We start from the raw sequence: 12,699 nt of genomic DNA on the forward strand, positions 1-12,699 counted from the left end.
AACTGGCTAGCCATATGTAGAAAGCTGAAACTGGATCCCTTCCTTACACCTTATACAAAAATTCATTCAAGATGGATTAAAGACTTAAATGTTAGACCTAAAACCATAAAAACCCTAGAAGAAAACCTAGGCAATACCATTCACGACATAGGCATGGGCAAGGACTTCATGATTAAAACACCAAAAGCAATGGCAACAAAAACCAAAATTGACAAATGGGATCTAATTAAACTAAAGAGCTTCTGCATAGCAAAAGAAACGACCATCAGAGTGAACAGGCAACCTACAGAATGGGAGAAAATTTTTGCAATCTACCCATCTGACAAAGGGCTAATATTCAGAATCTACAAAGAACTCAAACAAATTTACAAGAAAAAAACAAACAACCCCATCAAAAAGTGGGCAAAGGATATGAACAGACACTTCTCAAAAGAAGACATTTATGCAGCCAACACACACATGAAAAAATGATCACCATCACTGGCCATGAGAGAAATGCAAATCAAAACCACAATGAGATACCATCTCACACCAGTTAGAATGACAATCATTAAAAAGTCAGGAAACAACAGGTGCTGGAGAGGATGTGGAGAAGTAGGAACACTTTTACACTGTTGGTGGGACGGTAAACTAGTTCAACCATTGTGGAAGACAGTGTGGCGATTCCTCAGGGATCTAGAACTAGAAATACCATTTGACCCAGCCATCCCATTACTGGGTATATACCCAAAGCATTATAAATCATGCTGCTATAAAGACACACGCACACGTTATGTTTATTGCGGCACTATTCACAATAGCAAAGACTTGGAACCAGCCCAAATGTCCATCAGTGATAGACTGGATAAGAAAATGTGGCACATATACACCATGGAATACTATGCAGCCATAAAAAAGGATGAATTCATGTCCTTTGTAGGCACATGGATAAAGCTAGAAACCATCATTCCCAGCAAACTATCACCAGGATAAAAAACCAAACACCGCATGTTCTCACTCATAGGTGGGAATTGAACAATGAGAACACTTGGGCACAGGAAGGGGAACATCACACACCTAAAACCATAAAAACCCTAGAAGAAAACCTAGGCAATACCATTCAAGACATAGGCATGGGCAAGGATTTCATGATTAAAACACCAAAAGCAATGGCAACAAAAACCAAAATTGACAAATGGGATCTAATTAAACTAAAGAGCTTCTGCACAGCAAAAGAAACTACCATCAGAGTGAACAGGCCACCTACAGAATGGGAGGTGCCTGTTGTGGGGTGGGGGGAGCGGGGAGGTATAGCATTAGGAGATATACCTAATGTAAATGACGAGTTAATGGGTGCAGCACACCAACATGGCACATGTATACATATGTAACAAACTTGCACATTGTGCACATGTACCCTAGAACTTAAAGTACAATAATAATAAAAAAAGATACATGCATGTATATGTTCACTGTAGCACTATTTAAAATACTGAAGACGTGGAATCAACCTAAATGCCCATCAATGATAGACTGGATGAAGAAAATATGGTACATATACACTATGGAATACTATGCAGCCACAAAAAGGAACAAGATCATGTCCTTTGCAGGGACATGTATGGAGCTGGAAGCCATTATCCTCAGCAAACTAACACTGAAACAAAAAAAACAAACACCACATGTTCTCACTTATAAGTGGGAGGTGGTGATGAGAATACATAAACTCATAGAGGGGAACAACACACACTGGGGCCTGTCGCAGGGGTGGCCGAGTGGAGGGAGAGCATCAGGAAGAATAGCTAATTTGATGCTAGGCTTAGTGCCTAGGTCATGGGTTGATCTGTTCAGCAAACCACCATGGCACACATTTACCTATATAACAAACCTGCACATCCTGCGCATGTACCCTGGAACTTAAAATAAAAGTTGATTTAAAAAAAAAGAGAGAGAGAAAGTCTGAACGAGATAGTCTTTGAAGCAGACACCACTGTGTTCCAAGATCAGCGCTACTGATTATAAGCAGAATGATCTAGGGTAAGTTAGCATAGTAAGTCTTAGGTTTTTCACCTATAGAACAGAAATATCACCTCCAGGGCTGTTGAGATAATTAGAAATATATGAAGCATCAAGCACGTGGCTGGCCCGTGGGAGGCACCAACTGAGAGCCATTTGTATATAGAGCTGCCATTAGATTATTTTTTAAAGTAGTACTTCTCAAACTTAAATATGCATAGGAATCACCTGCAGATCTTGTTAGAATGCAGATTCTGATCCCACATATCTGGGTAGGGCATGAGTTTCTGCATTTCTAACAAGCTCCCAGGTGACACTGCTGTTGCTGGTCCACGGACCACACTTTGTGCAACAACATTTCAAACCATTCTAAAATTTCGCTTTAGCCACTGGGTACAAGAGATCATACAATTTTAATCTATGGGTTTAATCATAGCCAAAACAGAAAAGGTGTAATTATAACCATGAGAACTGTTAACCTTAAATGGAACATAACCCGCTTGTGATAATCATCACTTAACTGCCTGAGGTTCCTAGGGCAGAGGTATACAAGAGAGAAAGTGCAGAATGAAAAATATATGGGATAGATAAGGATTTCAGCATCATAGGAAACCTAAGAAGAGATAAAAATTGCACCATCATTAGGGAATGAGGAAACATAGCAGAGCCCAAGGGCCTATCACTAAGTAATTCATGACATTAATACAAAATCGATGTAATCTGCTTGAAGATGTCTCCTATGTACATTATGCAGGGTAGTGGTGTGAAATACTGTACATGGTGTTTATATCTGTTGAAGGGAACAGAAACATACATGAAGATACTAAGCAGTAAAAATGTGACTAAATCCTTCTCACTAATGGGAAAGCTTTTAAAAATTTTATTAAATAAAAAATAAATAAAAATAAAAATTTTAAAAGAGAATGCTCAAAACTCAACAAGAAGATAACCAATAAAGCAATGCGTGAAGGACTTGATGACACTTCACCAAAGAGGATATAAAATGATGCTCAGCATTAGTCATTAGGGAAGTGAAAATTAAAACCACAATGAAATACCACTACAAACTTATTATGATGGCTAAAATAAAAAAAAAAAACCTTGACAATACCAAGTCCTGACAAGGGTGTAAAGTAACTAAAACTTTCATACATTACTTATGGAAATGCAAAAATAGTACAGTAACTCTGGGAAAAAAAGAGTTTGGCAATTTCTTAAATAAACATACACTTATGATTTGAGCAATCTCATTTGCTGGTATTTATCCTAGAAAAATAAAAGCTTATGTTCACACATAAACCTACATATGAATGTTTAGAGAAGTATTATGCATAATTTCTAAAACCTGGGGGTAAAACACATTCAACAAATAAACTGTGAAATAGCCATACAATGGAATACCACTCAGCAATATAAAGCACTGATGCACATAACATAAATGCAATATGCTAACTGAAAGAAGCTAGACTGAAAAGGTTACATACTATATGATACCATTTATACATGGCTTTCTGGAAAAGGCAAAACTAGGGATGGAGAACATTAGTGGTTGCCAGGGGATAGGTCTTGGGGAGGGGAAGGAGAAATACTGGGGAATTCTTTGAGGTGCTGGAATTCTTCTGTATCCTATTTGTGATGGTGGATACGATAATTTGTGCATCATAGATATCAAAGAAAGCAGATTTTATTGTATGTAAATTTTTAAAATTAGCCTAATCGTTTCACTTTTTAACACAAAGGCTACACTGTCTTCAATTTCAGAGTAAAACCCAAAGCTGTTACAATGATCTAGGAGACCCTATGAACTGGCCTCTTATTACCTCTCTGACCTCACCTTTTACTATACCCCCTTGATGATTATTCTCCAGCCACACTGGCCTCTTGACTTATCTTGAACATGGAAAGGAATACTCTTTCCTCTGGCTGACTCTTTCACCAAACAGCTCCATGCTTATTCACACTCTCAACCTTTTCAGGTTATTTCAAATGTTACCTTCTCAGTAAGGCTTTCCCTGAAAACCCATAATAAAGGTGATCAAACCCTTATAATCACTTTCTTTTCTACTTTGAGTTTCCCCTTGGCACATAAATACATCAAAAGTATAATAAGTTTTTGTTTCTTCCCATGATAAGGTAAGGTCCAGTAACATACAGATTTTGTTAACTATTTTTCTCACTCCAGTATTCCCAGAGCCTGAAAGAATGTCTGGCATATACTAGGCACTTAGTAAATATTTCCTGGATGGAAGATGCCAAATAAGTGTTTCTGGAAAATCCTTTTCCTTCTGTATATAGGCTATGCTCTTTCTTGCTATTCCCTTATTTCTTCTAACTGAAAGGAACATGAACTGTGAGCATAAGGACAAAACCAATATGGTTAAGGACAATAACACAAAGAACAAAGTAGAGAAAGCACAGGTCCCTGGTGGCATGAATGATCCACTGCACTAGCCCTATTCTGCCTACCTCAGCCTTCTTGTTACATGATAAAGACAACGCACTATTAATTAAACAGCTGTAGGTGGGATTGGTTCCTTAAAAATTATGTAAAAAGAAATCAAAATACAAATGACTTATCTTTCTGGGCACTTCAGTAAATTAAAACTCTGTGTAAAATAATCCTCCTATACATTTATCAATCCAGCTAGTTTTTGTCCATATCAGGATTTCTGATTCTTTTCTGAAAAATCTAAAGTTACCATACAGTAACATACAACTAAAGTCACACTAATTTGAGTGAAAATATTTATTTTGTTTCTTGGCTCAGGCCCTAAGGAAAAGCCTGTATCAGGTTACAAAGTACCCAACAAAGTCTTTAAAAGATTTATTGTGCATACATCAAGAGACTAAACAAAAAGAGGTTAAGGCTGCAGAATCAAAAGTGATATTTTACACTCCATCCACTGTGACAAAGGGTATCACAGTCATGAAAGAGAAAGCTGGTTACAGCTTGAGATAAACCAAAATTATTAAATATCTCCCTTTCTAGTTCTGGCTCCCCAAATAATAAAGTTTTGAGCACTTTAATAAGCTAGACTCCTCAGTAAAAAGTAAATTTATCCCTGATTTTTACAGTGGTGCTGTCCCAGGATATGTCTTGACCTTTGTGAATATTGTATTTCTCCACCATAAATAAACTTATAGGTATAATCATGTGTGGCTTAATGATGGGGATATGTTCTAAGAAATGCATTTTAGGTGATTTCATCATTGTGTGAATATCACAGAGTGTACCTACACAAACCTAGATGGTACAGCCTACTACACACCTAGGCTGTACGTTATAGCTGATTGCTCCTAGGCTACAAATCTGAACAACATGTTACTGTACTCAATATTGCAGGCAATTGTAACAGAATAGTATTTGTGTATTTAAACACATAAAAGGTACAGTAAAAACACAGTATTATAATCTTACGGAATCACCATGTTATATGCATTGATTGAAAGATCCTTATGTGACATGTGACTATATTTGAGACCTTGGTAATTTTGTGGTAAATCCACAAATCAAGAAGCGAAATCAAAATAGGCAACATAATATACAGGGTCCAAGAATATGATACGTGTAAGTTTACAAAGGAAAACTGGAGATAAACTGGCAAAAATAAACATGTTGAGATTTTAGGGGTTCCTAACCCACAGATTCTATTCACTAATGGGAAAAGGTAAAACTCAGGAAACCAGAGACCAGCGCCCTGAAACCTGGCGGGACTGGCCGAATGTCAGATTAGCCCGAGCAGCTACACTGAACGCTGCGGAAGATGCACCAGAATCCCGGAGTAGGAGCCAGATTTCCAAAGGAAGAAAGCTAGGCCCTAGGACTGTGGAGATTCTGTAGTAACCTAAGCGATGTTCACAAGAACAGAAGAACGGCTAATGAGAGGAACAAAAAGCTGTACAAGGAAGAGAAAGCTACCTTTCCACCCAATAACTCAACGCTGCGACCGAGAAAACCAGGGACGCGAGAGGCTCGCGTCATCCTGCAGCGCCGACACCACAGACACTAGAAAGCGACGCCTCCGGTGGGACGACTGGAGGTCACGTGGTACACTATACGCCACCTTTCCCTTCTGGCGGAAAAAGCCATAGAGTCAGGTTGACAAGGCCTGAGAGAAATATGTCTGTATTAAATAATTGTGTATAGGTATATAATAAAAACTGATTGTCTCTAAATCTCTGTTTTGCTTTCACCTTTTCTTACAAGTGTCTTAGTTTGACATTGCCCACACAAAAGGTGCCTGCACGGAAGCGGAGTCCTACCACCGAGTCTCAGGCCTAGAAGGGCCCGGGGGTGGGTTCTGTGGGCTGGGAACAGCCTTATTACCCGGCTCAACGAAGGAAGTTCAGGGCGGGACCAGAGATTGGCCATTCCGCTACTGCGCAAAGATGGTGGAGGAGGAGAACATCCGCGTGGTTCGTTGTGGCGGCAGCGAGTTGAACTTTAGGAGAGCTGTGTTCTCTGCAGATTCTAAGTATGAGGGGCACCGCGCTTTGTCGGCTGAGGGGCGGGGCGTGAGTTTCTCGAGGGTCGGGGAGAAGGAATTGTCAGTCGCGTTCGGACTCGCCCGCCTGGCGGATATCGGCTTTGGGTAGAGCACGCGCCTGTGGGGGATCCCCAGGGTACCTGGGAGGTCCCGTTACCACTGCAGATTGGGTTGCGTCCCCCGATTCCTGGACAGTTTACCTGCAGGTAGATAAAGGCCCTGGAGCCGGTCTCCGTGTCGAGGATCTGGAAGGTGTTCGGGCGGCTGGAAAATGGTCCAGGGGTGGATGTGTATGCCACTACCTTTGCAGTACCTACTCTTTCGTACAGAATCATGTTTTGGAGTGACTAAAACCTAAAACTATTCCGCTTTTTCTACCCACTCCTCACTCCTGAAGCATAGTGCATGAAGCATAGTGCAGTCTTTTCGGAACTTTACATGAAAACAGATGTTAGATTCTTTATGAGATAAAAATACGCTAAGACTTGGTCTCTTTTCTCAGTGTAGCTGGAAACCAAACCACTCCCTGGCTTCAAAATCCACTTCTTACATTATGAAACCTTTGTAAGTTTCTTAATCTTTGCCTCAGTTGCCATCATCTGTAAAGGGGGACAATATTTAGTTCATCTCACGTGGTTATTGGGAGGATTAAATGCCTCAATATGTTAAAACTACAGACAACAATGCCCGGCACATAATGGCTCAATGTATGTAGCTGTAATCATTATTACTGTATTGTCAGGTTTTCAAATAACTTTAGGTAGGGTGGCACTTAATAAAATCAAAAAACCCTTTCTGCCTTAGAAGAGTAGAGATAGTATTTTATGAAAGTTTGTAGCCTCCACAATATTCTTTTTTTTTTTTTTTTTTTTTTTTTTGATGCAGAATCTCACTCTGTCACCCAGGCTGGAGTGCAGTGGCTCAATCTAGGCTCATTGCAACCTCCGCCTCCCTGGTTCAAGCAATTCTGGTGCCTCGGCCTCCTGAGTAGCAAGTATTATAAGCGCGGGCCACCACGCCCGCTAATTTTTGTATTTTTAGTAGAGAGAGGGTTTCGCCATGTTGGCCAGGCTGCCCTGGAACTCCTGGCCTCAAGTGATCTGCCCACCTGAACCTCCCAAAGTGCAGCGATTACAGTGAGCAACTGTGCCCGGCCCACCCCCACAATATTCTGCATATGAGTGTACGACAGGTAGTTGTTGAAGGTAATGCAAGCATGACTGAAAGAGCTTTTATAAATTGCCTTAGAAGCCAAAAAAAAATGAGTCCTGTGGCTTTGTTGACATTGATCTTATGAATCAAAGGAAGAAACAGGCTTTAAGAGGCTGTCACACTGTGACGCTTCGGACTCATATCCATGTAACCAGTACTGTTCTTATACCTTATTCATTATAATGAGGTCCATTGTGTGTTTGATTTGCTAAGCCCAACAATTCATTTTTTAAGTACTTGTCAACTATATATTATGTATAACATGCTGCAGTGACAAAAACTAAGATAATTTTAATATTGATCCTGCCTTCGAGGAGCTTACAGTCTAGTGAGGAAAAGGAATACTCAGTAACAGATTTTTCTTACTGTGGTCCTGTAGGAAGGAGCTCATAAGAAGAGATTACTTCCCAAACTAAGAAGGACGGAGAAGATTGCTGAGCAAATGACATTTGTGCTAGGCCTAGATGATATTTTAAGTGGGGAATATGGACAGAAGACATTTCAGGTGGGGAGGACAGTGTAAGCAAGAAAGACAGAAGTGATTTCTGTTGAACAGGCTGGTACAGTTAGCTAGTAAGAATGGTATATATTAAGGGAGGTAGTGGGAAATGAGGTTGGAAAGGACACGTGCAGCCAGTTGTTGGTTGTTGTTTGGACCAAAGAGAATGGTTTTTTAATTCTTTAAGGGGACGGCGGTAATCAGTTGTAATTTGATTGTGTTTCTTCAATAATGTTAACCTGAAAACTGTAAAACTCTATGATACATGTTGGTGAGTGGAGAAATGAGAGCTGGGTAGGCTGATGTACATAAAGTACAGTGATGGCATAGAAGAGGGAGTTACATAGTCAGTTTTACCTTCAGTAGTGGTTCTTGCAGCAATGGCAAGAGTTTGCCTCACCAGTAATACTGGGGGATGGAATGCCAGGCAAACAAGCTTGAAATCTGGGGGCCTTGAAAACTGGGGGGATTGAGCCTTCTATGTAAAGTCAGTGTAATTGCAGCATAGGGTATAAGAGATGGCAGGAAAAGACTCTGGAAGAATAGAGACCAGGGGTTAGAAGACCAGTGCAGGCATCCAAGCAAGAAATCACTTTTGCCCAAACTAAGGTAATATTGAACATGGAGAAAAGAGACAGGGTTTTAGAGTGATTTCACAGTCAGTGTCAATGGGGAGATAGAGTTCAGTTCGGGGTTATTAACTCTAAGGTACCTGTAAAACAACCAGGTGGATATAGCTAGTAGTAGGTAGAAATTCAGGACTGAAGTTTGGAGAACTTGGTCAAGATTTAGAGATTTTTTTTTTGTCATCTATATATAAGCTAATAATTAAAACCATTTATCTAACAAATGACAGGATTTTAATGAACTCAGCAAAGATTTGAATATTATCTACAAGGTACCACAAGGGATTGGCTGCCTTATACAAAGAGGAATAATTTTGTATTTTACCTCAAGGTGCTTATCAAGAAAGCCAAAATCATAAAAAGACAGACTTGTGGAATTTTGGCGGCTTCCTCTTGAAACTAGAACAAAAACTCTGTTCTAGGTACTTGAGTAGGTTGTTCTGAGGGGCATGTGGGTATACATGTAAGTTCCTGGTGTTCCCATATTAGATATTACTGACTCTCAGTCCAGTTCTGTTTGCATCCCATTCTGCGGCATCCCACAGTTATATGGTGCTGTGAATTATTGCACTGGGGTTGTTAGGGTAGAGAAAACTGAAACAATGAGTCATCCTTGCCTTTCACTTTCCTAAATTGCCCACAAGCTAATGTCCCAAACTCAGTATTTTTCCCTTACAGATCATTCTGAGTATTGCTGCTGTAACAATTTTCCTAAGTTGTTACTGTTATAACATTATTACTCTAACTCTTATTTCTAGTCTTGCTCTGAACTTTTTAACAGTTTTTTGTTGCCTCCTTAACTATAGCTCCTCTATATGGCTTTCAATCCCTTCTCTGATATAGCTCAACTCTTCCTACCCAACTGTTTCCTGATACTACCCATTATAGACACTTTGCTTGTCAGATAAGTACATTATCTGTGTCTTGTATATAATCATACCATTTCCTTGCTCTTGCTTATGTTGCTATTTTTTCTTCCCACCCCTTAAATCATACATCCTTCAGAGTCTAGTTTAAATCTTGGTTCCGACTTGAAACATCCCTAATTTCTTACTTCTTCACTTTCTCAACAAAGATGAATCCTATGTGACAGGTGTTGTGGTGGGTGCATTACACACCTTCCAGTCTACAAGGTTAAGGTATTATCCCTATTGAGTGAGTGCTTGCTGTGTATGCTAAGCTTGTATTTGCATGCAATGTTTCACTTAAACTCTATGAGAACGTGTTATTTACATTTTACAGTGGCTAACTGTAAGTGGAGATGTGAAGTTTAAAGAGGTTAAGTAAATTCTCCAACATCATTCAGCTAATACATAATAAAGCTGACATTCGAATCCATTTGTGTTTGACTTATTATTGTTTCTAATAAGTGAAAACACAGTGTCTCACCTCAAAGACTCACAGTCTGGTAGAGGAGAAACATAGTACACAGACAGTCTTAATGCCTTGTGGTAAGTTCTGTGATGGAGCTAAGCCCACCGTCGTGTAGAAGCACATTAGGACGGGTGCTGATCTAGAATGAGAAGATGAGGAAGGGCTTCCGGGAGAAAATTCTGAGCTGAATCTTAAAGCAGTAGTCAAGAGTTCTGAGAAATGGGAAAGACTGAAAAACTGTCACTGATTGGAAGGTTCTGAGAAGATATGACAACTAAGGTGGTATGCTGGACTGGGGTCTAGGAACATAAAAAAGACATTAATGGAAAAAGTGAAGAGCTCCAAATAAATTATGTAGTCAATAGTCATGTACCAGTGTTAATATCTTAGTTTTGACTAACATGCTGTGCTTATGTAAAGTGCTAACATTTGTGGAAGCTAGGTGAAGCGTATGCAGGAACTCTGTAATTCTTCTGTAAATCTAAAATTATTTCAAAATTAAAAGTTAAAAAATAAGCTTACTCTTAGGAAATAAAAAAGAAGTAATTAGAAAACGTGTTCTATGTAGATAGCAGAGAGTGCAAAACCATGGAGAGAAAGTTGACTTTGAAGGGTTGCGTTTAAGTAATTGAAGCCATTGTTCTATGCTGAGAAACAAGAAGAGAGGATATTCCTTTTTTCTGAGGAAGCTTATCAGAATCAATTAGGGAAAGTTTTCTTGGCCAACAGTAGCCCCCTACCCACCACTGTCTCAAGGAAGCCATATCTAAAGGACCTCTTCATATTGATAGGGTGTGTCTGGGGGATGGGGGAAATTGTTGGAGTTATGAACTATTTTAATAGAGCACAGTGTTAAGTGAAAAAGTAGTTCAAGTTAGACTGGGATCAGACTACCAAAGCCTTAAGAATTTAGATCATTTCCTAAAGTCAGAGGGAAAACAGTGAAGGATTTTAGCTTTATCTGAGCAAGTAATATGGTCAAATTTGCAAAATTAGTCTGGTGTGACTGTGAAAGCTGCATTGAAGGACTGTACCTGGAGACTGTAGGAAGCCCTGAAGAGTGGCCCAGGCTGGAGATGTTAAGCTTCTGAACTGAAGTACTCATGGGAATGGAGAAGAGGCTCCAGCCAAAGGGCAGGTTATATATCGCAAATGCTTTGTTGCTCATACATTCTTGATCTTATACCATTTCATACAACCATGCCTCCTGGCTGACAGCACTTACAAGAGACCATTGATTATAAGATGCATTCTAATTTCAAAGAGATGAACAAGTGAAAATCAAGTGTCTTGAACTAATAAAATAGGATAGTAGTGGTCCCAGTTTGCAACAAATTTAGTGTGTTGTAATACAGTAGCTCTCCCTTGTCCACAGAGGATATGTTCCAGGACCCTCAGTGGATGCCTAGAACCACAGGTAATACCAGACACTCTATATAGTAAATGTTTTCCTATACATACATACCTATGATAAAGTTTAAGTTATAAATCAGGCACAGAGATTAACATCAATAACTAATAAAATAGAACAATTATAACAATATGTCAGCATCACTACCCTTATACTTTGGGGCCATTATTAAGTAAAATAAGGGTTACTTGAACATAAGTACTTCAGTACAGCAATAGTGGATAGGATAAACTAGACAGTTTCTACGTGACTAACGGGCAGGTGTGTCTACAGCAGAGAATGCTGGAAAAAGGAATGATTCATGTCTCAGGTGAGACAAGGGAATTCACTACTGAGAATGGCATACAATTTTAAACTTATGAATTGTTTCTGGAATTTTCCATTTAATATTTTCAGATTGATCTTGACTGTAGGTAATTAAAACCAGGGAAAGTGAAACCATAAATAAGAGAGTACTGCTATGAATATAATAGACACAGAGCAAATACTTTTTACTTGGAAGATACAAGAAGATTTATATTTCTGCGCCTTGTTCTGTGATAATATCGTGAAAGTAGTCAAACAGTGCCCCAAGTAGCTTAACCACTTTTAGTAATTTAGTAGCTGCTGCTACATGGAAGAAATCCACAAATCCAGAAAGACAAAGCAAAGCTAGCATTTCAGCAACAAGAAACAAAAATGGAATAAAGTCTTTGTATTTTTCTGTACAAAAGGCCCAGACCTCACCAACTGGAGCAGAACCTTTGACTTACCATTTGTAAGCTGGTGTTGCCAGTGAACCATGGAGATGTTGGGGACATGGAAAAACACTGCTGTTGGCAGTACTATTGAAGAGTAATAGTTGATAGTGACTAGTACAGTGTCTGCATCCATTTAATGAGCAGGCAACTTGGTTAAGCTGGCTGTTTTTGCAGGATAATTCCATTTATAGCCTCTGTCTACAAACAGTCAAGAGATATGATATTGGCATCATTAATCTTTTCTGAGTTAATAATCTCTTCTGAGTTAATGAACTGATTGGTCATAGATGTCCCCATAGACAAAAGGCACACAAATTTGAGTATACAATTCTTAAACTATACCAAAAGAAATGTC

General features: G+C 39.2%; 2 protein-coding genes across 5 annotated transcripts in view, besides 6 other annotated features; one reads left to right on the top strand and one right to left on the bottom strand.

The window, feature by feature from the left end:
- The window catches only part of COL5A2 (collagen type V alpha 2 chain), a 409,214-nt gene extending 403,211 nt beyond the window's left edge, over positions 1-6,003 (bottom strand). For all 3 annotated transcript variants that reach the window (XM_047443252.1, XM_011510573.4, XM_047443251.1), the window contains exon 1: positions 5,915-6,003. The gene's annotated coding sequence lies outside the window, so the exon portion shown is untranslated. The remainder of the gene's footprint in view (positions 1-5,914) is intronic.
- Positions 5,232-5,930: an enhancer, noted in NCBI's record as "H3K27ac hESC enhancer chr2:190305066-190305764 (GRCh37/hg19 assembly coordinates)". NCBI's record gives its function as "activates a minimal SCP1, AML or CMV promoter by ChIP-STARR-seq in primed H9 embryonic stem cells {active_cell/tissue: H9 hESC(primed)}" and the evidence as "EXISTENCE:reporter gene assay evidence [ECO:0000049][PMID:30033119]".
- Positions 5,702-5,861: an enhancer, noted in NCBI's record as "active region_16846". NCBI's record gives its function as "activates an Ori minimal core promoter by ATAC-STARR-seq in GM12878 lymphoblastoid cells {active_cell/tissue: GM12878}" and the evidence as "EXISTENCE:reporter gene assay evidence [ECO:0000049][PMID:35858748]".
- Positions 5,882-6,101: an enhancer, noted in NCBI's record as "active region_16847". NCBI's record gives its function as "activates an Ori minimal core promoter by ATAC-STARR-seq in GM12878 lymphoblastoid cells {active_cell/tissue: GM12878}" and the evidence as "EXISTENCE:reporter gene assay evidence [ECO:0000049][PMID:35858748]".
- Positions 6,362-6,491: an enhancer, noted in NCBI's record as "active region_16848". NCBI's record gives its function as "activates an Ori minimal core promoter by ATAC-STARR-seq in GM12878 lymphoblastoid cells {active_cell/tissue: GM12878}" and the evidence as "EXISTENCE:reporter gene assay evidence [ECO:0000049][PMID:35858748]".
- Positions 6,366-12,699, top strand: part of WDR75 (WD repeat domain 75) — a 34,079-nt gene continuing 27,745 nt past the window's right edge. For both annotated transcript variants that reach the window (NM_001303096.2, NM_032168.3), the window contains exon 1: positions 6,366-6,470. Coding sequence is in view for 1 of the 2 variants with exons in the window: in NM_032168.3 (NP_115544.1) it covers positions 6,385-6,470 (86 nt within the window). In the remaining variant the exon portion in view is untranslated. The remainder of the gene's footprint in view (positions 6,471-12,699) is intronic.
- Positions 6,512-6,741: an enhancer, noted in NCBI's record as "active region_16849". NCBI's record gives its function as "activates an Ori minimal core promoter by ATAC-STARR-seq in GM12878 lymphoblastoid cells {active_cell/tissue: GM12878}" and the evidence as "EXISTENCE:reporter gene assay evidence [ECO:0000049][PMID:35858748]".
- Positions 6,762-6,811: an enhancer, noted in NCBI's record as "active region_16850". NCBI's record gives its function as "activates an Ori minimal core promoter by ATAC-STARR-seq in GM12878 lymphoblastoid cells {active_cell/tissue: GM12878}" and the evidence as "EXISTENCE:reporter gene assay evidence [ECO:0000049][PMID:35858748]".

The sequence above is a fragment of the Homo sapiens genome, chromosome 2, assembly GCF_000001405.40.
Source record: "Homo sapiens chromosome 2, GRCh38.p14 Primary Assembly".
Classification (NCBI taxonomy): Eukaryota; Metazoa; Chordata; class Mammalia; order Primates; family Hominidae; genus Homo; species Homo sapiens.